Source organism: Homo sapiens, chromosome 3 (assembly GCF_000001405.40).
Source record: "Homo sapiens chromosome 3, GRCh38.p14 Primary Assembly".
NCBI classification, from domain to species: Eukaryota; Metazoa; Chordata; class Mammalia; order Primates; family Hominidae; genus Homo; species Homo sapiens.
In genome coordinates, this window is record NC_000003.12 from 37502323 (window position 1) to 37527068 (window position 24746).

General features: G+C 44.5%; 1 protein-coding gene across 1 annotated transcript in view; it reads left to right on the plus strand.

Moving 5' to 3' along the window:
- ITGA9 (integrin subunit alpha 9) overlaps window positions 1-24746 on the plus strand; it is a 371367-nt gene that overhangs the window by 50182 nt on the left and 296439 nt on the right. The window contains exons 6-13 of the mRNA NM_002207.3: window positions 856-985; window positions 3678-3763; window positions 6237-6305; window positions 11441-11578; window positions 15182-15287; window positions 16938-17032; window positions 21199-21289; window positions 23704-23749. Coding sequence (NP_002198.2) covers window positions 856-985; window positions 3678-3763; window positions 6237-6305; window positions 11441-11578; window positions 15182-15287; window positions 16938-17032; window positions 21199-21289; window positions 23704-23749 — 761 coding nt within the window. The remainder of the gene's footprint in view (window positions 1-855; window positions 986-3677; window positions 3764-6236; window positions 6306-11440; window positions 11579-15181; window positions 15288-16937; window positions 17033-21198; window positions 21290-23703; window positions 23750-24746) is intronic.

A 24746-nucleotide genomic window follows, 5' to 3' on the forward strand; every position in this document is an offset into this window, starting at 1 on the left:
TCCTGCCTCAGCCTCCTGAGTAGCTGGGATTACAGGCATGTGCCACTACACCTGGCTAATTTTTGTATTTTTAGTAGAGACAGGGTTTCACCATGTTGGCCAGGCTGGTTTCAAACTCCTGACCTCAAGTGATCCACCCGCCTCGGCCTCCCAAAGTGCTGGGATTACAGGCATGAGCCACTGCGCCCGGCCTTGAGTCTGTTTTTAACAGTGATACCGTCTATTGCTGCCTTGTGGTCCCCTCTTCCAGTTTGTGTTTTTCCTTAGTTGACCTTGCTGGTCTCTTGGTTTTGTTCTTCCATGTTTGCAGTGGACTGTAATGATCGGAAAACCATGTTCTAGAACGTCCCTGAGAGGGTCTTGAGTGTGGTCTGGAGGGGATTCCCTGGAGTACTAGTGCACAGTTTCCTCTCGCTACGCATCAGGTCGGGGGAGTTGAATGGTGAGCCTGGAGTCCAGGCAGGGTGCGGTATTGCTTACTGCTTTTCATGAGTGGTGTTCCCCAGAATCTGTGGTTGAGGTCAATGTCAGCTGTTTGTCATTTCCTTGTTAGAGCCTGATGTAAAGTTGAGGAAACGTGTGTGGTCTCATCGTGGATAGAATAGGGGCCTGGCCTGTCGTGAATTCTGTCACCTTGCTCAGTCTCTTCACATCTTTAGTCCTGATAATCCCGTCTGTATAATAGATTCCATAATGCTGATGAATCTGGTGAAATCTGTTTTTGTTGCTTAGCTGGGGAAAAAAAAGTTCTTGGTGTGAGGAATTTCTCCTTTGTTGTGACTGTGGTTCTCATTGCATTCCCCTCCTCCCCTCCTCACTTCCTTCTCTGCTTACCGTTGGATTTCTTTTTGGTAGGAGCTGGTGGTGATGGGTGCTCCAGGGTCATTTTATTGGGCTGGAACCATCAAAGTGCTGAACCTTACGGACAACACCTATTTAAAACTGAACGACGAAGTGATCATGAACAGGCGGTACACCTACCTGGGTGAGTACTCAGGGAGAGAACAGGTAAGAAAGGGGAAATGGGAGTGATTCCCACCAGATTCACAAATTATTGCTTCATTGTTGGAAAGAGGAGTTAGTTGGCTTTGACGCCTGTTGTTCTAATGACTTACATCTTTAGCCAGGGCATCTTCACATCTAGCTCCACAAACACAAGGTAGAGAGGAAAACCAAGGAGGGAACTGAATTAAAACTGTATGCTTTAATTAAAAAGCTGACAGTTGAACCTCCAGGGAAATAAACATTTTATTTTCTCATTTTATCAATTGTTGAAGTTCAGATGGTCAGGTAGAAATGAGTGTGATGGAGTCTTGATTTTCCACGGGCGTCCCTTTGGATGGAGTCCTTGCTTTCTGATCACAAAACTGGTAGCAAATAGAAAGATAAGAACTAGAAATTATCATGACAGATGGCAACCTAATGCTGAAGGTTAATTAAAGGCTCAGAAAAATTTCTCTTGCTTTCTTAACTCTTTTAATCTTCTGGAAAGAAGATAGACACAATTTAATGTAGCTATCAGGCAGAATGACACTGGGACAAGGTCCATGCCAATTTAAGAACAGACATAGGCTGTCTTTGCTTGTGTAGATGACAATTACAAGACTCTTTTCTTTAATTTATGCCCTAAATGCTATAATTCTGGATTGAAAGCGAAGCTAAATTTAGGAAGGCCTAATGATGACACACAATGCTCTTTCGCACTCATGATACATAACTTACAGGGAAAGGCCCTGACTCCCTTTTTGCATAGCGTCACTGGGAACTTCTTGTTAAATGGGGTTAGGGAGTCGTTGACTTGCCTTTTCCCTTCTAACTACAAGTTTTTTGCCTGGTAGCATAGACCCAACAATCCTTCTACTCTGGGGTGTTTGCTCCTGTAGGCACCCAGCTGCCTAGTGCTGTTGCTTATTAAGCATTTACCCTATGCCAGGCTGTATGTATTATTTCTTTTTAATTTCTGAAACAACCTTATGAAGTAGCTATTATTATCTACATTTTATAGATAAACTGAGGAGCAAAGAAATTATACATCTTGCCAAGGTCACATGGCTCCTAAGTAGCAAAATTAGGGTATGAGCTTGTGGTTTCTGAGTGCAGAGTCTAAATGCTGAGCTGCCTTCCCTGTGGGTGCGTCTGAGAGAGCACCTATCACTGGTACTGTACTTCTCACTGGGCTGGGAGCACCTTGAAGACAAAATGTGGGATTGTGTCTCACATTTGGTATAGTGCCTGGTGTATAGTAGTAACTCAACACATATTTATTGAATCAGGGAATGAAGAGAGAGCAGAAGAAAGCCCAGTTTGGATGATGGGTTTGGGGTCTAGAACAGCTCCTTTGAAGCTTCGAGCCTGTGGTTTCTCTTTGTATACACATTAGAGGCTCTTATCAGCTGCAGGGATTATCAAGGATCCGTTCAGGCTTTGATCTCACTCAGAATACTCTTAGGTACTATCAGTCGCCAGTCTGAGAGAAATCAGCCACATGGTGAGGAAGAATTGATCATGATATGATGTCATCGCGAAACTCAAACAACTTACAATCACTTTAGGGTTAGAGGGTGATGACAAGTTTGGGGATTATATGGCAGCCTGTACAGGATTTATGCTGGCCAGAGGAGAGCTTTCAGCCTGCTAGCAAGGCTCTCAGAAAGCAGGAGACGTTGAGGCTAAGCCTAGGCAATCTTTTCCTTTGTTTCTAGGTTCCTTTTGCATCCATATTTTTTCACTGACCACCCTCCCACCCATCCACCCATCCATCTACCCAACCATGCATCTACCCACCCACCCACTGACAGCTTCTTTTGCCTTCTTGTAGGAGGGAGTGTGGTTAACAGCAGGGGCTTTAGAGGCACAGATTAGATTTGAGTCTTGCTGTGTGATCTTTGGCATGTTGTTTAACAGGTTTTTCTAATTCTGTATCTGTAAAATGGAAGAAACAGTCATGCCTTCTTCATAAAGTTTTTAGACTGAAAGAGATACCTAAAGACATGCATAAAAATGTTGGTAGCAACCTTGTTCATATTAACCCCAGCCTGGAAACAACCTAAATGCCCAGCAACAGAATAAACATATGACATATTTATATAACGGATATTACTCAATAATAAAAAGAAACTACTACTGTACTCAACGATGTGGATGAATGTCACAGATGTTATGTTGAGTGAAGTTCAAGAAAAGGCAAACCTAATATATGGTGATAGAAATCAGAATAGTGGCTACCTGTGTGGGGCATATTGACTGGGAAAGGGCATGAGGGAACCCTCTGGGGTTATGGTTCTGTGGTTATAGTCACTTCCTTGATCTGGGTGGTGGTTGCATGGCTACGCTCATGTGTGCATTCATTGAGTTTTACACGTCAGATATATGACCTTACCGTATGAAAACTATGCCTTGAAAAGAAGAAAACAGATATATAGTATTTCATACAGTACTTGTCCGAAAGAAGACACTCAGAAAGCCCTCTTTCCTGCCCTGATATCCTTGTGAACATGACTTTTTGTGAGATGAGAGCCATTTCAGCATGAGAAGGTTGACAGCTGCCATTTTTTTCCTGGTAGTTTATGTTCCAAGAGTAGGGAGCATGCTTGAGAAACATTTTCCTCTGATGGATGTTTTTTTTTCCCTTCCCTTCTTTTTCAACCGTGTGCTTGGTTTCCGCCCATCCTGTTCAGGCTACGCAGTGACCGCTGGCCACTTCTCTCACCCGTCCACCATTGATGTGGTAGGAGGTGCCCCACAGGACAAAGGCATCGGCAAGGTGAGGAGAAACATCTGTGGAATAGCTGGGGTCAGACAGAAGAGGGGAGCATGCTGTCCCTGGTGCAGAGGTTTGCCAGCTGACATTGACCTGAACATTCTACTGGGTGGCTGGTGGGGAGGTGATGAGGAACCCCCTGACTGCCCCACTCCATTGGAAAGTTTCCCTTGAAAGCTCAATTAGAGTGTGAGTATACTCACACTCTCGATTTCCTGCACACTCTCATCTGAGGTTTTTCACAGCTGACCATGTGTGTGTGTGTAATTTATAAGACTGAGCCCTGGCCTTATGGTGTCCTTCAAAAGAATGGCATTTAGTGCTGTCCAACTTCAAATCCCAAACCCTTCCCAAGTTTGGCTTTGATTTAATGGAGCTAGGTCCAGTCTCAGATATCTTTGAGGCTTTATTCATGCCCCAAATTATTCTCGTATTTATTTCCCCAGTGTTTGAGAAGGAACATTGGGTTCCCAAGACTGGTTCAGCCCAAAGGCTGGACTGGAAATATGTGGGTCTGGCTTTCCCTAAACTATAGTATCTGCCAAAAAACCCACCCCCTGGATCTAGGGCTGCCTGAATTCCTTTGGGAAACATGACCTCTGAGGGGCCTGAATTGTGAACTACGCTTGTTGGTTCTTTATCATGAAGGTACAGGAAATCCAGATTGAGTAGGTACAGATGGATCAGGAACCCACATTTTTAAGAAGCTCCATAGGTTGTCTGATGGGAAAGACTGAGTGAACAGAGGAATGAACTTTGGATCTGGACCTTTAGGGGTAGACCTGTGATAGAGTCTGGTCATATCTCCCAGGGCTTGGAGAAGTGGAATCTGGATTCTGGATTAGCCCAGATGAGCTGAGACCACTGGTAATTGGAGCCTTCAGCCAGGAGGTCAGGATGATCAGGGAGCTGACGAACTTTCCAGTTGACTAGGCTTGACTAAGGATAATTTCTGTGGATCCTCCTGGGCAGAGGTTAGGAGCTGCTGCTCACGTTTCTGGAGCATGTGCCTCCCTCCTCCCTAACACTGATGCTGTGGAAAGAGGTTCTTCAAAACTGAAACCAGATAAACCAGGGCCCTGAGCTGGCAGGGAGGAGGGATCAAGCAGGTGACCTTCGATCACCTCAAGAAAGAGGTGGTTCTTTCTGAGTTGCATGAATTTATCTAAGTAGAGAAAGAAGCACTGAGAGCTGTTCACATTGATGTTGTCTTCTTGGGGAGGGGCTGCGGGCTACCGGGCATCTCTGTAGAAATGGTAAAAATGCCTACGTCTAGTTCACAGTGATGCGGGTGCCTCTATGCTAATGATAGCAGCTTTCTTTTCTCCCTAATTGCAGAAAACATGATCCAGTTTTATAGTTTTTCCTTCAGATGATTGTGATGAACTTCATAGTCCCTGTCAAGTCTTAAGATGACCCCTCCGCAAACCCCTCTCACTGGCTATCTGGGGGGTGCAAGGTATAAAGTTAAAAAGTTGAGAATGGTACTTATAATTGATAGAGCCAGACAGCGGGACTCCTGGACCCAGTTTATAAAGTACATAAAAATGCTTCTTTCAATTAGACCACCTGAGAGGCATGGGGAAACTGGTCATAGTGACAAAGTTGCTGACAATTCCACATTCCCAGGGATTGGGGCTAGTACAGACTTGATTCCCAAGGACCCCTGGCCTTCAGGATTTTGCTGGATATTCTAGTGTCAGGGCACAAAAGCACTCACACTAAGATGGCAGTTCCTTATCTCATGGGAAGGTTATTTACACTGGTTCTCATGAGACACTCTTCCCACGAGATGTAATCCAAAAAAAAGAACTTCCATAGTCAAGTACATTTAGGAAGTTAAATGTCAGTGATCGTCTTTGCAGTGGCGATGCATAGTTCACATGAACATGCTAAAGGCTCTAAAAAGTTCCACAGTCAAAGAATTTACTTAATGTTTAACTCCACATTTCCCAAATGAAACTCATTTTTACCCAGGCAGATCACATGACTCTAATATTACGTGAAATCACTTTGGGAAACTGCTTTGTCTACAGTACTCATCTCCACCTATCCCTTTATCTTCTGTTGTAATGCCTGGTAAAGTCTTACTGGGAATAAAGTCCAATCCATACCACCAACTAATTTTAAAAACAGGAATAAAGGAAATATTTCAAGAAACAAAATACTAGCTTTTTCTCAGAGTTGAATTGTTTACTTGTAATTTGGAAGCTTCTTGGGTCTTATTGTGTGTGGCTTTTATAAGTATTGTGGTTCAGGAGCAGTGGAGGTGATGTCTGCCTCAGGATTGAAGGACCCTTTTTTTTGCAGGGCTGGTAAAATGACAGCTGACTTCTTCATGATCATCAGCTAGCATAAGCACATCTGCTGTGCACCTGGCTCTTAAGCTTTTAAATAGGACTCCCAGGAGAGTGCTGATAAATATCTTTGATCATTGATTTCATCCTAACTAGATTTTTTTTTTTTCATTCCATAGGTTTATATTTTCAGAGCTGACCGAAGATCAGGCACCTTAATTAAGATCTTTCAAGCATCAGGTAAAAAGGTGAGGTTCTTGGTATAAGTGACTATTTTTTATTTGAGAGATGTGATCATGTGGGAGTCAGTACTTTTTAGAAAATTGGTTTGAAGGCCCTACCTGTGCCCTGTGTTTATATGGCAGTGCTGTCTGCTTGTTGGTGTCTTTACCTTCTCAGCGGTATGTGTAATCTGTACATTCATGGGATTCATACTCGCTTTAGGAGACATTCTGTAGCAAGATGAGTTATATGGGGCCAAGTTACAGCACAGAGTTTTAAGAGATTGTCCGTAGTTCAGACTGTCATCAAAGTGACTGCATGCCCTGTCTCTCTGCCTCCATCCTTTCTCAACGAATCTCCACCTCCAGAGAGAGCAGATCTTTCTGAGTACAGGTAGCAATAAATGCTTCTCACTGAGCCTGTTTCACCAGCCCAACATTACCCCCTTCCCTAATCCTCAGCCCTCAACTGTCATTGCCAAGGTGACTGTTGCCACACAAAGAAAATCCAAACACAGGTTGCCTGATTCCTCTTAGAACCTTGAAGCAGAAATAGCTCAGGGTGCTGCCCTAAAGTTAGCCTGGGTGAGATTACTCTGCCTGGGTCCTCCCCACCCTGTCCCTAATCCTCTCTCTGCTTTCTGAAAGTTTCCATTATACTGCCCTGTTGTCTAAAATTAAGCCAATTAGAGAGTCCTGCTATTAATAAGCAACAGTTTTCATGAGCTTATCAGTCATGCACTTCTTGTGTGGCTTAGATCAGCAGGACTGTTTGGCTGAGCTTGGCTACTCTAAGGGACACAAGTTTAGGCTGGGAGCTGTGGGGGTAATTTGGAGGTCTTGGTGGAGGCCTTAGTGGGATCTGGGAAGAAGCATAGGATGTCTGGGACATGGGAGGAGGCCATGTGCCTCCTCAATTCTGTTCCTGCCGAGTTAGAACTGCTGTACGCCAGCCTAGGATCCTTCCATGTTGTTCTCCCATTCAAGTAGACCTTTTTGCAATTTTAACTATCCGAATAGGTACACTTAGTGTATAATTGTCATTATCTTTTGAATAAAAAATGCATCACCAAACTTGGTTTTGCATTTTTCCTCAGAATGGCTCTGCCTTCCCGAGAACTCTGCTGGCTTGTGTTATTTTAACATTTCCAAAACCCCAAAGCAACAGCACTGGAAAATGACTGTGAGCCATTCTGCAAAAGGGTTTTCCAAGCACCCTTAAAGTTAGAAAAGAAATAACTCTGTGCTACTTGTGATTTACAAAAGAGAGTTTCAAAGAGCAAGTAGGGTATGAGTGGAATTAAGGCTAACATTTTAGATCTTCTGCAGAAGATAACAAATGGGTGAATGTATCTAGCATGGAAACAATCTCCCTCTTCCCTTCAAATGTACCTGGGTTTGAAAGCCTAAAGGTAAAGGATTCCTTTTTTTTTTTTTTTTTGAGACAGAGTCTCACTATGGCATGATCTTGGTTCACTGTAACATCTGCCTCCTGGACTCAAGCCATCCTCCTACCTCAGCCTCCCAGGTAGCTCGGACCACAGACATGTGCCACCATGCCCAGCAAATTTTTGTATTTTTTTTTGTAGAGATGGGGTTTCACCATGTTGCCCAGGCTGGTCTCAGACTCCTGGGCTCAAGGGATCCACCCACCTTGGCCTCCCAGAGTGCGGGATGATAGGCATGAGCCACCGCACCTGGCCAAGGATTATTTAAAATGAATTGTGGAGTTTCTGAGTATCTTTATGTTCAGTTGTAGCTGTGCCCCCCCAAACTGCTTTTCCTTCCCTGCCCTACTCCTTACTGTCTGTGCCCTGGGGAGGTCCGGTTAATTCCTATTGCCTTCGAGTAATTAACAATCTGTAATTGTGCCCTCTCTCCTCCTTGAAAACCTCTTGGTTTGGATGAGAACCTATGCTCAAGTTGATCAGGTTTTTGGGGGTAGATCTGAGAGTGGGTGGTGCAAGGAGGATGAGATTAACCTTTGAGAACCCACTTGTCTAAACTTCCTGAAGACTTCTGCCATTGAGTTCCAGGACAGGTTCAGGCCTGAATGTCTGCTTGGATGTCCTTATCATACCAAGATACATCAGGTTCCCTGAGAAGGGACAGAAAGGCCCAGGTATTCAACTTCTTGGCTTCGTAGCCATTTGACTTTTTCTTTTCTTTAGGGCTCTTCTGGCCCTAACCTTTGCACCATTCCATAGGCACCCCTTCTTTCTGCCACTCACTCACAGTCCTCTTGCCTTCACTTCCTTCTACTAGTGTCTCCAACTAGATTTACCCTGTCATCATCGTTCTGCTTTTGAAATAGGCCATGACCTTTCTTTATACAACTTATTCTACTTCTTGCCAGAAGAAATGAGACATTCATGTCTTTCTGACTTCTCCATTACCTCCTACAAAAGGACATGACCCCAGGCTTTCAAAGGATGCCTTTAGATTTATCCCTATGTCCAGAGTCACATAGACAGGAGGGTTCTAACTCAGCAAACCACCGGTTCACTTCTGCTTCCGTTTGGCTAGAATTTGGTCAGATAGTTCTGTATCCTGGCTTCCTATAAGAAGAAACAAAGCAAAAAGATTAAAAAAACAAAACCAAACAAAAAAAACCTGGTTCTTGTCTTTATTGGTTGACTTTCTCCAAATAGTACACTTAAGAAATCACCAACATGTGTGCAGTTCAGATGTTAATACAGACACACATCTCCACATTTCCAGGCTGATGGGGAGCTCTGATCATCGGACACACACCCCAAAGCATGTCATTGCCATATTGAAGTTTTATTGAATTAACGGAGTATGTGAAGCATTTGTATTTCAAAACTGAGATAGGAAACTTCACATATAGAGATTTCTAATTTAACATTGATGAAGATGCCAAGTTAAATAGTCCTTTGGAATGAAACAAATAGTTCCCCTGGGGCTCAGCCAGTGAGCGCAGCCAGCAGCTTGGCTCTTTGGGTCTTTGCCTGTGTCTTACTGATTTCTTTTACCAAAGCTCAGATGGGGAGATTGGCAAGGCCACTGAAATAGTGACTGGCAACTCGGTTTCTTTCCTCCTCACCCTCTGTGATTTCAACCCTTTCCTGCTCCGTTCTCCTTTGAGAATGGGTAATCAGAGGGGAGGAAGATGGCCTTGGCATATCACTGGGGAAGGATTTCTGAGCGGCCACTACAAAGCCCTCCTGTGACCCTGTTAGCTGCAGGAAATAGATTGGAGTGTCCTCTACCTCTCTCCCTCAAACTCCCTGGGTCAGCTGCCAACAAACTCCAACAGTAAAAGAAAAGGCTTGTTCATGTCCATCAACCCAGGGGCCTTTTATTAGAAAACATTTATTTTAAAAGAATAATGCTTTTTCTCTTTCTTTTCTTTTCTTTTCTTTTCTTTTCTTTTCTTTTCTTTTCTTTTCTTTTCTTTTCTTTTCTTTCTTTCTTTCTTTCTTTCTTTCTTTCTTTCTTTCTTTCTTTCTTTCCTTCCTTCCTTCCTTCCTTCCTTCCTTCCTTCCTTCCTTCCTTCTTTCTTTTCTTTTCTTTTCTTTTCTTTTCTTTTCTTTTCTTTTCTTTTCTTTTCTTTTCTTTTCTTTTCTTTTCTTTTCTTTTCTTTTCTTTCTTTCTTTCTTCTTTCTTTTCTTTCTTGACAGAGTCTTGCTCTGTTGCCCAGGCTAGAGTGCAGTGGCATGATCTTGGCTCACTGCAACCTCCACCTCCCAGGTTCAAGCGATTCTCCTGCCTCAGCCTCCCTTGTAGCTGGGATTACAGGTGCCTGCCACCACGCCTGGCTAATTTTTGTATTTTTAGTAGAGATGGGGTTTCACCATGTTGGCCAGGCTGGTCTCGAACTCCTGGCCTTGTGATCCACCCGCCTCCCAAAGTGCTGGGAGTACAGGCGTGAGTCACCATGCCCGGCCTTCTTCTTTTATTTTTTTTTAAAGTAGAGGTTGCAAACTGACAGCCTTTGGAAAGAATACAGCCTACAAATACTTTTGTTTGGCTTGCACAGTATTTGTTTATTGTTTTTACACACGAAGAAGTTGCGAGCATTTAAAACACTGGCACTTTAAATAAAGTTTTAAATTTTTGGCTTCTTTTGGAAAATGGAAAGGTTGCTCCTCTCTGGGTCAGCATTCCTCTTGGTGGCAGTTAGCTGCAGCTGGGTTGAAGCTGCTCCTTTAGCCAGGCTTGTGGGCTCCAGTTTGCCACAGTCTCCACCACTCCCTATTGTTATGTAGACAAGGAAGACAAGTGTCACTTGCCACATTAATTTTTTTTCTTATGCCTGTTATATCACCTGCCTGGATCCTGTTGGTATTTGGGTTTGAGACCCCTAATTAAGCTATAATTAAAAGTCAATATTATCTTGCTCTGTTCCCTCATCAGTTAAACAGTCTTAAAAGTTGTACCTTTTTCTGTCACTTCAGCTCATGCCTTCCTAACCAATCTTTCACCTGTGCATAGGACCAGGAGAGAATAACCTATTTCCCCATGTAACATTTATTTTCATGCCTTTCTTGTGTTGTGAGATTTCATATTCCTACTTGCTTGGCCTTGTCAAATGTCTGATATAAGGAGCATTTTTATTATGGTTGTAACATAACTTTGTGTCCTCAGCTTGCATTTTTAAAAACAGCACCTCATTCTGTGGGCATCAATCTATTTATCTTCCCCTTGATAGGACTCCAGGAATGGGGGACTTTGGGCCAGTTAGCTTTGTCTCACATTGACTGGGGCCCTGCCTTGCTGCTGGAAGTTGGGTATTTCACTCTTTGCTAGGCATTCTGGTTTAGGGGGCAGCATAGCCATCCAGCCTCTGAGGGATGTTTCTTTTTTTTTATGTTTTTATTTTTTAGTATACATTAAGTTTTAGGGTACATGTGCACAACGTGCAGGTTTGTTACATATGTATACATGTGCCATATTGATGTGCTGTACCCATTAACTCGTCATTTAACATTAGGTATATCTCCTAATGTTATCCCTCCCCCCTCCCCCAACCCCACAGCAGGCCCTGGTGTGTGATGTTCCCCTTCCTGTGTCCATGTGTTCTCATTGTTCAATTCCTCTGAGGGATGTTTCTAAAGCCAATGGGGTGGAGGAAAGCGAGGGCATCCTTGTGTGAGAGCAGACACTGAATGCTTTGTTGCAACTCAACTTGGTTGCAGATGGGCTCTTACTTCGGCTCCTCCTTGTGCGCAGTTGACCTGAATGGGGACGGCCTCTCTGACCTGCTGGTGGGGGCCCCCATGTTTTCTGAGATCAGGGATGAGGGACAGGTCACTGTCTACATCAACAGAGGAAATGTGAGTACAATACTGGGCAATGTGCGGATGGGTGTGGGGGAGGGACATTTGTCCAGCCAGCAGTGGCCGAGCACCCCTCTGGGCCGGCACTGGGGGCAATGTTACCCAGAGGAGATGAAAATATGTGATATCTGTCTTGAATAAGCTCAATGGCCCATTAATGGAAAGTTATATACAATGTTACAACTGCAGACACCCAGGGGCCAAGGAAGAATCTTAATAATTGTCTTTTGAGTGCTTACTATGTACCAGGGACTCTTCTTCCTGCTTTCTGCGAGAGATTTCTATGCAATATACACATGGTATCAAGGGTGCCCATTTTTCAGGTGGAAAAACTGAGGCCCAGAGAGGTTAGGTAATGTGTCCCAAACCACACAGCTAAGAAGTGGGGCTGGGATTTGAACCTAGGCAAGCTGGCTTTAGAGCTGGCATGCTTTGTCTCAAGGTTATGCCACCTCTCTGGGAGCATATGCACATTTTCCCAGGGAAGCAGAGGAGGACACAATGGCTGGGGAATCTTGAAGAAGGAGTAGGAGTTAGCAGACAGGCAGGGTGGGCTGGAGCAGAGCTCCCAGTGCAGAGCTGGGCAAGTGGGTTGGGGTGTGAGGTGGCATCACCACTCATTTCAGCATGGGGGGGCAGGGGACTGCATGGGAACCATAATCTTTTTGTTCGTTTGTTTGTTTTGAGGCAAAGTATCACTCCATCACCCAGGCTGGAGTGCAGTGACGCAGTCTTGGCTCACTGCAACCTCTGCCTCCTGGGTTCAAACTCTTCTCCTGCCTCAGCCTCCCCAGTAACTGGGATTACAGGCACTTGCCACCACACCCGGCTAATTTTTTGTGTGTTTTTAGTAGAGATGGGGTTTCACCATGTTGGCCAGGCTGGTCTCAAACTCCTGATTTCAAGTGATCTGCCCTACTTGGCCTCCCTAGGATTACAGACGTGAGCCACCACGCCTGGCCAATAATCTTGGTGTCCCCTATTCTGCAGAACCATGAAAGGGACGTGACATGGACAGAAAGATGCCTCTGGCCCTCTGTAGCTAATGGAGGGTGGGTGAGTGGGGGCTGGGTTGGGGGACAGCAGTGCATCGTGGAAGCAGGAGACCAGTGAGAAAGCAGTCTTTTCAGGATCTGGAAGTACAAGTGTTCAAGTACAAGTATTCAGCAAGAACAACATGGTTCAATGAAAACATTCTGGTGCCGCCTACCTTTTCTCTAACATGAGAAAACGCTTATGGAGATAATCAGTGGAAAAATGGGATGAAAACTGCATGTACAACCAGTCCTCAGAAATATGCCAAATACATAGAAAATGTGAATAACAGCTCTCTGGATAGATGTTTAGTTTTATCTTTATCCAAATAGTGAGAATATAATTTCATATTTAAAAAAATCGAAGTGTACTGTTAAGCAGTGGCTGAGATGCTAGGTATCCCAGTTGGGAGAGGGCAGAGGTTTAGCTATAACTAAGTGGGCAGATGCCAGAAAGGAAGGAAGCAGTGAAAGGAGAGCCAGGGATTGTTAGAGCCTTATGTTGCGTCTGAGGTTTTCAGGCTCTTCAGGAAGTCAGATCTAAAACCAGGGAGGTTTGGGAGGCCCAGGTGGGAGGATCACTTGAAGCCAGGAGTTCAAGACCAGCCTGGCCAACATGGTGAAACCCTGTCTCTACTAAAAACACACAAAAAAATTAGCCTGGTGTGGTGGTGCTTGCCTGTGGTCCCAGCTGAGGCTGAGGTGGGAGGATTGTTTGAGCCCAGGAGGTGGAGGCTGCAGTGAGCCGTGATCATGCCACTGTACTCCAGCCTGGGTGACAGAGTGAGACCTTGTCAATCAGTTAGTCAACAAGCCAACAAGCAAGGTGCAGTGGTGGTTGCCTAGGAGGCTGAGGCGAGAGGATCCCTTGAGCACCGGAGTTTGAGGTGGTAGTGAGCTATGATTGCACCACTGCACTCCAGCCTGGGCTACACAATGAGACTCTGTCTCTAAAAAAAATAAAATATCTGGGAGGGAAGGTGCTTATTGGTACCTGTTGCAGGAACTCTTGGCACCTGCATACCCACTGACATTCCAGGAAGTCAGGGCAGGGTGCAGGGAGAAATGAAGGGGACATTAAATAAATGAGTGCTGTGGGCATTCAGTGGTGCCTGCCATTGTATTTGCAGGAGACTGAGACATTTGTGTAGGAGTCAGGTCCAACAGCCAGACTGTGTGTCTAAATCAGAAGGTGGACTCTTGAAGCACAAGAACTCCCCCAGGCCTCCACTGGGCATGATGCACCCACACCCTCCCCTGCCAACCAGTGTTTCTTGATGTTGTATGGTTATTCTAAGTACCAGAGTATTCTCATTTCTGTTGAACATCAGCCATTTGAATAAAGATCGGAAGGCAGTGTGGAGTAGTGGAAAAAATTCTGACTTTGGAGCAAGGTGGACCTGAGTTTGAATCTTGGTTTTGCCATGTCCTAGCCTGTGTGATGTGGACAAATGGCTTGAAATTGGTGGCCCAATTTCCTCATCTGTAAAGTGAGAGGCATCATAAGATCTTCCTTATGGAGTCATTGTGTGATTTGAATGAGGAGCTGGCTGTACAGTACCTGGTACATAGGAGCAATCAGTTGCTGGTGTTCCTCTCCTCTTCCCCACTACACTGAAAGAAAGAAATTAATGCATATTTGTGTTTTGGGGTGGAGGTTTCATTCATCCAAGAAATCATCTCACCTTGACTGTTTTCAAGGTGTAAATTGTGTTTATAGTGAAAAAGAAGACTTGGTCATGATAAAAGCCAGACACTCGTGGGATGGCCTGTAGGATATAGTGGGCCCAGACTGCCTCTGCACTGGGGAATGCATACATCTTCTCATGTCTCAGGACATCAGATTGCATTGTATCACTCTGGTCTTCATGTGTCAGTGATTTGGGGTGAGAGTAGGTATGACTTTTTCCCCCAAGTTAGATGACTTTTCCTGCCTTTGTACACCATTAACCCCCTCCCTCTGTTGGTTAGTATTTTCTCAGGAAATTCATACCTGAGCCATGCATGAATAATAGGCACAGTGACGTCTGCCATCACAGCCACCCTCTGGCCAAGAACGACTGGGTGCTTGGATTTTCTGAACCATGACTCCCTCTATCAAGATAACTCATATATGCACTTTGCAAAACAGTTTTATAAACTTGTACCAAAAGGCACAGGAAAGAAAAAATAGAAAAATGTATACCCTTTTAAAACAACATTGGGGAAAAAGTGCTATGCCTTAAGGACGTGGAGAGCACATGGGGGAAAGGTGGGTAGGGAGGTTTGCTTGTGTGTAGTGTATTAGGACAAGGCAGAGAGTGTAGTCATTGGCTACCATGACATTCTCCTTCCCTCAAAAATGCATCTCAGGCTATGGGAGACCATCCTGCTAAGCAGGTAAAAGGGACGCATTTTGCCAGCAGGAGAGAGAAGTTTGGGTTCCTGTAATTCTGCCCAGGTGTTTCCTGTCAATGAGTGTGCTCTAGCAGGGCAGCATTCAAACTCTGGTTTTTTATTGATTTTTATTGTTTGTTCTGTTTGTTTTTGTTTTGTTTTCCATTTTCTCCTCCATCCTGTTTCCCAGGGAGCCCTCGAGGAGCAGCTGGCTCTGACTGGGGATGGTGCCTACAATGCGCACTTTGGAGAGAGCATTGCCAGCCTGGACGATCTGGACAATGATGGGTTCCCAGGTGAGTGAGTGCTCCTGGTGCACGGAGCCCCTCCAGGTGCAGCACGCTGCTCTGTTTCAGAGGGGCAGCCTGCTCGCTGACTGTCCATCTCTAGTGGCATGCTCCTGGGTCTACTGATCCCCTTCGAAGGCCCATCAATGTGCTGTGGGGAGATAGGACACGTTTAGAGGTGCTCTCCCTGTAGACACGCAGGGCTGAGCTTCCAGCCCACTGGAGTTTTGCCTCTGCATAATCCCTTCTCACCAGCTCAGTGTTCTTTGTTGTTTGCAGTGGAAGCAAACCTTGGGGCTGGTCCATTTGGGACTTCTTATGGCAAGAAGTTTGAATAGCTTCATCCTGCCATCAACTCTCCTTGTTTCTGAGCCTTTGATGCTCCATCATGCTCTACCATGTTGATGGGGAAATGAGTGAGGAGAGAATTAGAAACCCAGACATCTTCTGCCTGATTATAGCAGCAGCTAGATTGACTTTTGAGAGTGTACGCGTGTGTGTGTGTGTGTGTGTGTGTGTGTCTTGGGAGGCATGGAGGCATATGTACCTAATGCCTAGGTCTGTTTGGACAGCAGTGTTCCTCACAGCCTCTTGGCCTCTCTCTCTGGCTTGTTTGAGCCTCTTCACCTCGCTGCATACACAGCATACAGACGTCGGGAGGCAGAGCAACCATGTCACCAGGGCATGTGGTGGTGGAGGTGGGGCAACCCTTGCCCAGGCCAGCCATCCAGACGTCTTTGATACCTCCTACCACTGGCTACAGTGGGCTTCATTTTCCTCCCCCTTGGCCTCACTTCTGCAGACACATGACTTTGTTAGAAGCAAGGGAAAAAAGTTAGGAAGATCTAGGTTTTGTTCTAGGAGTTGCCAGTTTGTGAGAGTAATGTTATTTCTTGTGTGTGAAGTGAATGCCCTTCTGTATATTTCCTTTATCCAGGAATGGATTTATTATCAAATAATAATAAGGAATGGTCCTTTATCCAGGACCTCAGACTTTCTCAGTTACACAATAGCCATTGTCTATGGAATTCTCCCTGATGGAAATTATGGCACGTAGTTTATATTTGCATTTCTTTTATTGGATGGGTCAGTGGTTTTTCTTACGAGCATAAGGTAGAAACTTTTTTGGAACTAAATTCTTCTCAGTCAGCTTCTATAGTTTTCACTGTACTTTTTTTTTTTTTTTTTTTTTTTTTTTTTTTGAGATGGAGTCTCACTCTGTTTCCCAGGCTGGAGTCCAGTGGCACAATCTCAGCTCACTGCAACCTCCGCTTCCCGGGTTCAAGTGATTCTCTTGCCTCAGCCTCCAGAGTAGCTGGGACAACAGGTGCGTGCCACCACACCCAGCTAATTTTTGTATTTTTAGTAGAGCTGGGGTTTCACTATGTTGGCCAGGCTGGTCTTAAACTCTTGACCTCAGGCGACCTGCCCGCCTTGGCCTGCCAAAGTGCTGGGATTACAGGCGTGAGCCACCACACTGGCCTACTTTTTTTTTTTTTTTTTCCCGCTGAGGGATCTTGTCCCCAAATTAATGCTTGAACAATCAACAACCAATAATTTCTGGTATCCAGGGACTCAGACATGACAACCAGAATTAGGGAAGCTGCACTTGTATTATTAATGTGGCTTTTTAACCCATAGCTGTTTTTTTACCCTCAGATGTGGCCATTGGTGCACCCAAGGAGGATGACTTCGCAGGGGCGGTCTATATCTATCATGGTGATGCCGGTGGGATAGTCCCTCAGTACTCAATGGTAATTAGTGTGAGAGTGATATGGCAACTGTTCATACATTCATTCAGCAAACATGTATGGAACCTTCATTATGCACCATGCCCTGGAGGTACAAAGAAAAACATTTTTCTTGCCTTGGCCTTCCTACCCTTTTGTGAAAGATACAATTAATATTGCTTATTAAATACTAAAAAAAGCATTCTTAGAATCCCAAGTTCGCTAACACTCAGGGATGCATTTTGCCTAAAGAAGATAATTTTCAACTCTTACTCAGAGTTGGAGCCATTTATTTAAGAAAGGAAAGGAAGCTTTCTCTTTTTGGTGACTACTTTGTCAACCGTCTATGCTAAGGCAAAGGAATATGTTTTAATATATAATCTAGAAGAAAAATGGTCCATGGTGGAGGGGCCTGAAACTGATCACAGACTGTCGTCCCAGCTGGCCTCAAAACCAGGAGCCAGTTAGGACTCTGCGCTTGCGCCCTATACTTGGGAACATGGAAGTGGTGAGTTCTGTTTTTTGCCGTATCAGCTTGGTGTTCAATCTTGCTGATGGTGTCAAGCCCAGCCCATGGGAAAAAAGGAAGTCATGCTCTCAGCAGAAGCATTGTCAGGATATTTGTGGATGTCTGCCTGTGGAGTGGCACTGGCTCTGGTCTTTCTCCCAGTGGGTCAGAGACAGAAGGGGACACACATTGAGAAATTTCCAATCAACAAATATTTATTTATTGAACACTTACTACATGCTGACTACTTCCTACTCATATGTATTTGTATTTTAATTTTAAGAGGCAGCAGGTAAATGCAAGTACAACTTCTACATGAATAATTGTCCTTGGCAGATAGAGATAAACTAGTTAAGGGTGGAGGGTTGGTTGGTTGTCATTCGTGCCTCAGATCCCCTCTCTACTGGCCTCCTGCTGAGCTCAGTGCCTCACCTGCAGGAGACAGGGCTTTGGGAGGCGCTGCGAAGAGGAGGGACTGTTTTTTGGGTGCCTACTCTGCCCTTTCTTTACCTTTAATCCTCGCAGCAGCCATGTAAGATGGGTCTGTTTATTATCCACCATTTATTTATCCACGAGGCCCAAGGAGGTTATTTAACTTGCCCAAGGTCATAAGTGGCAGTATGGCCACAGAATCTTTGCCAGTCTGCTGCCTGAAACTTGTTATCGTAACCACCATCCTCAACTCCACATTGCAAAAAGGAACGCTCGGAAACTCAGTAGGAAAACTTACGAATATGGAAACTATTTTGCCATGAGGCATACATAGTCTGAGGGGCATTTATCTATCCAGACCATCCTCTTTTCATTAGAAGTACATAACAGGAGATTAATAAACTTCGGTGATTCAGCCCACAAGGCAGGAGGAAGAGAGCTTTGGGCACAGTTTGGGGGCCACATCTGAGTCACAAGAGCTGCCCTAGGCTGCGGCAGGGATGCTCTTCCCAGGGTGACAAGCTAAAAGTCACCCAAGGAGCCCCGTGCTCGGGCAGCGGTCAGGGTCATTCTCCACGCATCCTCCGGGAAGCTTGTTTTCCTGGACCTCGGAAGCTAATCACACAGTGAGGCAACCTGTGAGAGACCCCAGCTTCCCCTCCTCCGGGGCCCTCCCAGTGTTTTGTTTGGTTGCTGGGTGGAATCCCTGTAGAGAACCACAGTATAACTCTTGTGGTTAGCGTGGAGCGTCTTTAGTGGGAAGCAGGGATAGCATCTGGACCAGCCTGCCTTTGTCAGCACGCAGGCTGGCTCCTTTGCTTTGACAAAGAGAAGTGGTTTTGGGCTCTTAAGGAAAAAAAAAGAAAGAAGCAACTATGACTGTACGTTCCCAAGCTGCTAATATGCATATGATAAGGGCAGAGATTTAAAAGAAAAAAAATTCTTTAATGGCAGATTCTTGCAGGCCCAGGTCCTGGACAGAGCAGGCATTGTGTGGGTGAACTAGAGGAAGGAATCAGAAACAACTCTGGGCAATGGAATCACTTTGCTTTGGCCCAGATTTGTATTATTTCTGCTGGGTAAATTGTGAGATCAGGGCCTACACTTCTTCCACATTGCTCTTTAACTCTCTCTCGAGTTTACCACGGAGAGTGTTTATTTTAAGATCCTTGTGTGCCTTTCCCAATGTGAGAGCCCTCTGGGCATATGGCGGCCCCTATGATCCTTCTCTTGCTGGAGGGGACACTGCATAGAAACCTGGTCAAGTGGAGGTTTCCAGGGCTCCTGGTTTTCATTTAGGGTTATTAGCACTGGGCAGACTTATCTTCTTGGCTTTTAGCATAATGGCCTGCAGATGTCTGTGGGATAACTTAAGCCTGCATCACCACCCCAGATGGACCACCCCTTCGCTCTGCCCCTCGTCCCAGCCACAGCATACCTTAGAAATGTAGATCCAGGGGCAGGCTGCTGCTAGAGTTCTTGGACTTCAGAGCCAAGAGGGTCTGCTTCAAAACGTGGCTTTTAAGAAATGTGCAGACACACGTACATGTTTGTTTAGACAGAGCCATGTGGGATGTAGGGCTTTGCCTGTTAGTGTGAAACATTTCTTCAGTGTTTCCTACAGTGTTCTGATTTGTACTTTGGTGCTTGGACATTTCCTGTTGGATGGCTTAACGGAGGATGGCAAGCAGCCTTCTCTGATCACTTCTAGGAGGGTTATTTGCAGTTATCAGCTGCTGGGGGTCAGGGGGCATCTCTCGTGCCTCCATCTGTAGATCCTGTGAAAACTCCCCCCTCCTTGCCTTCGTGACTTCTCTGCAGGATGACTCGGGAAAGAGAAGGATAAGGAAAGAAAGTCAAAGTGAGCCCCTAGATAGCTGTAAACCTGGTTCTATTGTACTTTGAAAACAAAGCATTTCTCTTGTCCTCCACAGTGAGGACATCAGGAAGTGAGCCTCCCCTGGGGGACCATGCAGATAAAGGCAGAAGGAGTAGGTCAGACCCCAGAAGATGGGACTTTTCTGATTCAAGAAGTTCAGTATCTTTGTGAGGAACTGCGCCACACGAATGTTGATGCGCAGCTTCAGTGTGACAAAGGCTGTTTGTACAATAAATATTGTTGAATCAGTGCTGCCTGTGTGGATATGTGATGAACTTAATGATGAATAAGAAGTGAGCACAGCCAGGAGTGGTGGCTGTAATCCCAGTTCCTTGGGAGGCTGAGGCAGGAACATCGTTTGAGGCTTGGAGTTTGAAACCACCTTGGGCAACATGGCGAGACCCCGTCTGACAAAAAAAGTAAAACAGCTGGGTATATTGGAGCATGCCTATAGTCCCAGCTACTTGGGAGGCTAAGGCGGGAGGATCACTTAAGCCCAGGAGTTTGAGGCTGCAGTGTGCTATGATTGTGCCATTGCATTCTAGCCTGGGCAACAGAGCAAGACTCTATCTCTTAAAAAAAAAAAAAAGAGAAAGTTTTTTGTTTTTAAAAAACATATAAAGTAAGCATAGATGCTAGTGTGTCCCATGGTGAAGTTGTGAACTCTGGTTGGTTGAGGGGGCTGTTTTCTAGAGGGGAGGGCAGGGCATCTTCTTCAGCTGAGTGCTTTTGATTTCCTACAGTTTAAGAAGTGTTCAGGACCATGGAGTTCTAGATTTACTGGGTAAAACTGTTCACTCCTGTCTGTGAAGCTCCAGAATCTATAGATCATCTGGTTGGCTGGATGGAGAGGTAGTTTCCACATGGCCATCTTTTCCAGCTGGACATGTTAATTACCTGTCTGTCTAGGGAAAGACTCTGTAATGTGTGCCTCTTAGGAGCAGAGTGTTAAATATTTAGTACATATTTGGGAAGAAAGATACAAGCTAAATATGTTCTTAGAATTTCAGCCAGCTACACCTGTGTAAAAACAAACAGAACCTGCATTAGGAATGGAAGTTAAACTTTATCCATTTTGAATTTCAACATGTCAAAACATTATCATGGTAGTCTAGGTGGATTTTTTTCATTAACACAGAACTTAGAAAAAATTTTAAATGATGACGTTTGGCCAAGACAAGTAATAATAAAGGAGTGTGTGGCCTTCAACTGCCTGCTAAAGACTTGCTGATCACATTAGGATTACTTTTTTTTTTTCTTTCAACAACTTTAAGACCAAGTGTCCTAGGGAAGCTGGAATAAAGCAGTCACAGTTCTTATTTGTGACTGTGGTCTTTTCCTGTGACTCCATTTCCCTATTATCTGTTTCAGAAACTGTCTGGGCAGAAGATAAATCCAGTGCTCCGGATGTTTGGTCAGTCCATATCGGGAGGCATTGATATGGATGGAAATGGCTATCCTGGTAAGCTGTTTTTCTTTAAAGGCACATGAGATAAATGAAGATAAATGCATGAAGTAGAATAATTTTCAGTCTGGTTAGCAATCATCACATCCATTTAGGATTAGGACAATTCACACAATAGAATAGGGTGTTTTGCCTGGTGTTCAATTTTAAGGTGAAAATAATGTTGATATTTATTTTGGGGTTTTAAACTGATCTACTCTGAATGGCTTAGCACCAGGAGGGTGGATTTGTGTAGTGGTTTCTGGGGCGGTAATTCTAATGAAGAAAAAAAGCACTGGCCACATCTAAAATGGTTGAATAGTGAAACCTCATGTTTTCCTTTGTATTTAACCACATTCAAAGGCTTCTTACTCTTGAGAGGGAAAAAGAGCAGCACCCCCACCGCCCCCTGCCCCTACTCTTGAAATAAAATGATGGAGAAAGATTTGGAGTTAAAAGAAAACCAAGTCCTCTTGCGTGTGGACAAAGCAGACCTTCACCATTCAATGCTGGCTGGCTTGGCTTTAGAGTTAATTATTGCCTGTGGTGGTTGTGGCTAACTGGATAAAGATACATGATTTCAAACCCAACCCCAAGTGATATCTGGCCTAGGTCAAATTGCCTGGGTGGTGGAGTAGTGGTTCTTCAGGTGTTTCAAGATGGAGTGGGGTAAGGTAAGGAAACAACAGTAAGAATTTGAAAAAATCCAGAATGGTCATGGAATTCAGGAAACATTTCTCTAAATTTTATAGTCATCTTGCTTTTGAGAAATATTTCTTTCCACTAAAATTTAAGAAAACTAACGCAGTCTTGTATGAGGACACCACATTGTGTATTTTTGTACAGATAGGAGTTTTGGAAATTCCTCAAGACAACAGAGCCAGGAGGAAGTAAGGGAATAGAAAGAAGTCAGTGTTGAAGCTTTTGTCCCAAGAAAGACCCTTGTGGGCCTTTTTAAGTTTGAGAAAGCAGTTCTTGTTCTGGAAAATTTGTGGCCATCCCCAAATAATACCTTATATGGGTTTAGCATTTAATATGTACAAAATGCTTCCACATGCAATGTGCATCTCGCAGTGACCCCAGCAGGTAAGTAGGATAGGGTGTTTTCCCCACTTTATAAACAAGGATGCTGAGACTCATTGTGAGGGGCTGCCCAGAGCCTGCAGTGCACGGGGATCCATGCTTCCCAGTGGTTCAGCTACTTTTCTGTAAATGTGAGGTGAGCAAGGTGTTCACAGTTCACAATGGATCTGAATTTCTGATCTTGTGTTTTTCATAAGGGAAATTGACAAATTCATCAGGTTCTTTTATTTTTAAACATATAGCAAATTTAAAGACTATTGAAGAACAAAATTGATACAACACCCAAGTGGAGAAATTTTAGGAACACTATAATTCATGGATTTGCCATTTGTTTTTCCCTAATGAGGGCATCATATAGATGCTCAGTGCATTTAGTGATGTACAGATTCAGACCCTCTTGGACTCAGATACTTGGTTCTGTGAAGTAGTAGTGGGAACCCCAGGGCCAGGGATTTATATGGCCGGGTTGGGGTGGTAGGGAGAAAGGCATAGAACCACTGGAAGAGTAAGTACTTCCTAAATTAAAGTTATTTAGGAATAAACATTACCAGTTAAACCAGGGTCTTGGTTTATAGCTTACCAAGTATTTCCATGAATTTACTGACTTAAATATCTGATTTCATATATTTAATAAATATTTACTATAAATCTAGTGGGTACTTAATGAATATTATATAATGACTAATAAATATTTTCTGATTTAAATGTAATGAAATATTATCAGCTTTTGAAGAAGGCCCTGGGGATAATTATCTTCATTTTACAGACAGGGATACCATGAGATACTCAGGTCACATAGAGTGAGGGGTGGAGGGTGACAATTCCATGTTCTTCAGAACCTAGAGCATTTTCCAAGAGTCACTGAATTCTAGGTATGTCTTTCTCTAATTCACTGATGTGAAAAGAAGTATAAGCCATATGTGTAATCTAAAATATTCCTGTAATTACATAAAATGATAAAAAAGGTGAAGTTAATTTTATTAATTTTTTTAGCCCAATATAGCCAACATATTATCATTTCAACATATAATCAATATGAAAGTTATTAGTGAGGTAGTTAATGGTTTTCTGTACTAGGTCTTTGAAATGTGGTGTGTAGTTTACACTCACAGCACCTCTCGACTGAGACTAGCCACATTTCAAGGCCCCAGTAGCCTGCGTAGGGATTGGCTGCCACGTCAGAGAGTGTGGCTTCCATTCTTACAAGATCATTGTATAGCCCAGACAGTGGTCGTCTGAGGGCTCTCCGGCCTCAAGGCTGGGTCTCCATCCTTGTGAGCGCATTCCCAGGGCGCGGTTGTGTATGGGCTTCAGCAAGTTTCTGAACGCTGTAAACTTCTCATTTTCAGATGTCACTGTTGGAGCCTTCATGTCCGACAGCGTGGTTCTTCTCAGGTGAGAGGCCCCACTCTTGCTCCTTGAATTGTGCTGTTCAGGGTGAGGGATGGAGCCATTCACCATTCATGGGCTCTTTCCTCTGTCCTGTTCCTTGTAGGCTGGAGGTGCTTAGTAAGTGGAAATGCTACCTTATTTTCTCATTCTAATTATTCTCTATCCCAGAGTTTCTAGCTGTGGCCTTGAATGGCTTGCAGGTATGAGATGATAACATCCTGGGAGCTTCTAGGTAGGGGTTGGGGTAGCCTAACTCTTAAGCCTAAGGTAGGGGTTGGGGTAGCCTAACTCTTAAGCCTAACTCTTAAGCTATTTGCTTTTGGCCAAGAACCTTCCATAATGTGCCATAAAAATATTTTATAATTTCCTGCGGGTGCTGGGAAGCACTGTTCATTCTGTCTCTTCATCTGTACACCCTGCATTTGTACCTCCAGTCAGTCCACAACACCCTGGGGACCGGGAGCCTCCTGCCCGTTAGACAGCACGTCATTCCCTGTTGGCTGCAGAGGTGAGGGACATGAGCTGAGGCCCAGAGCTTGCTGAGGCCCGTGCAGTCTGCATCTCTCCTGCAAAGGCCAGTGGGCCGCCGCCACCACCCGTGAACCCTCTCCAAGTATTTCTAGCTGTATGAGTCAGAGGAGGCAGAATTACACTTTGGAGTGGGAGCCAATTCTTAGGTTTTGTTAATAACCTGATGGCAGAACTTTCTAAAATAGACTAATAGGATCTCAGAGCTGGAAGGGATCCCAGAGGCCATGTAGTTCCACACCCCAGATCCTTCTTATTCAGCGGTACCTTCTGCTGGTCTCCACTGCAGGGCTACACAGCCTCCTGTTTGAGTGAGATGCCCCATGAGTGGGAGCCCAGTTACTTCTAAGGGAACCAGCTTGCCCCGGGTAACATTAAATCTTGAATTATTAAAGAGGCAGAAGAGCCTTGAGGTTGAATGTGAACTCAGGGGCCAGGTGGCCGGGTTCCAGCCCTGACTCTGCCCTTACTA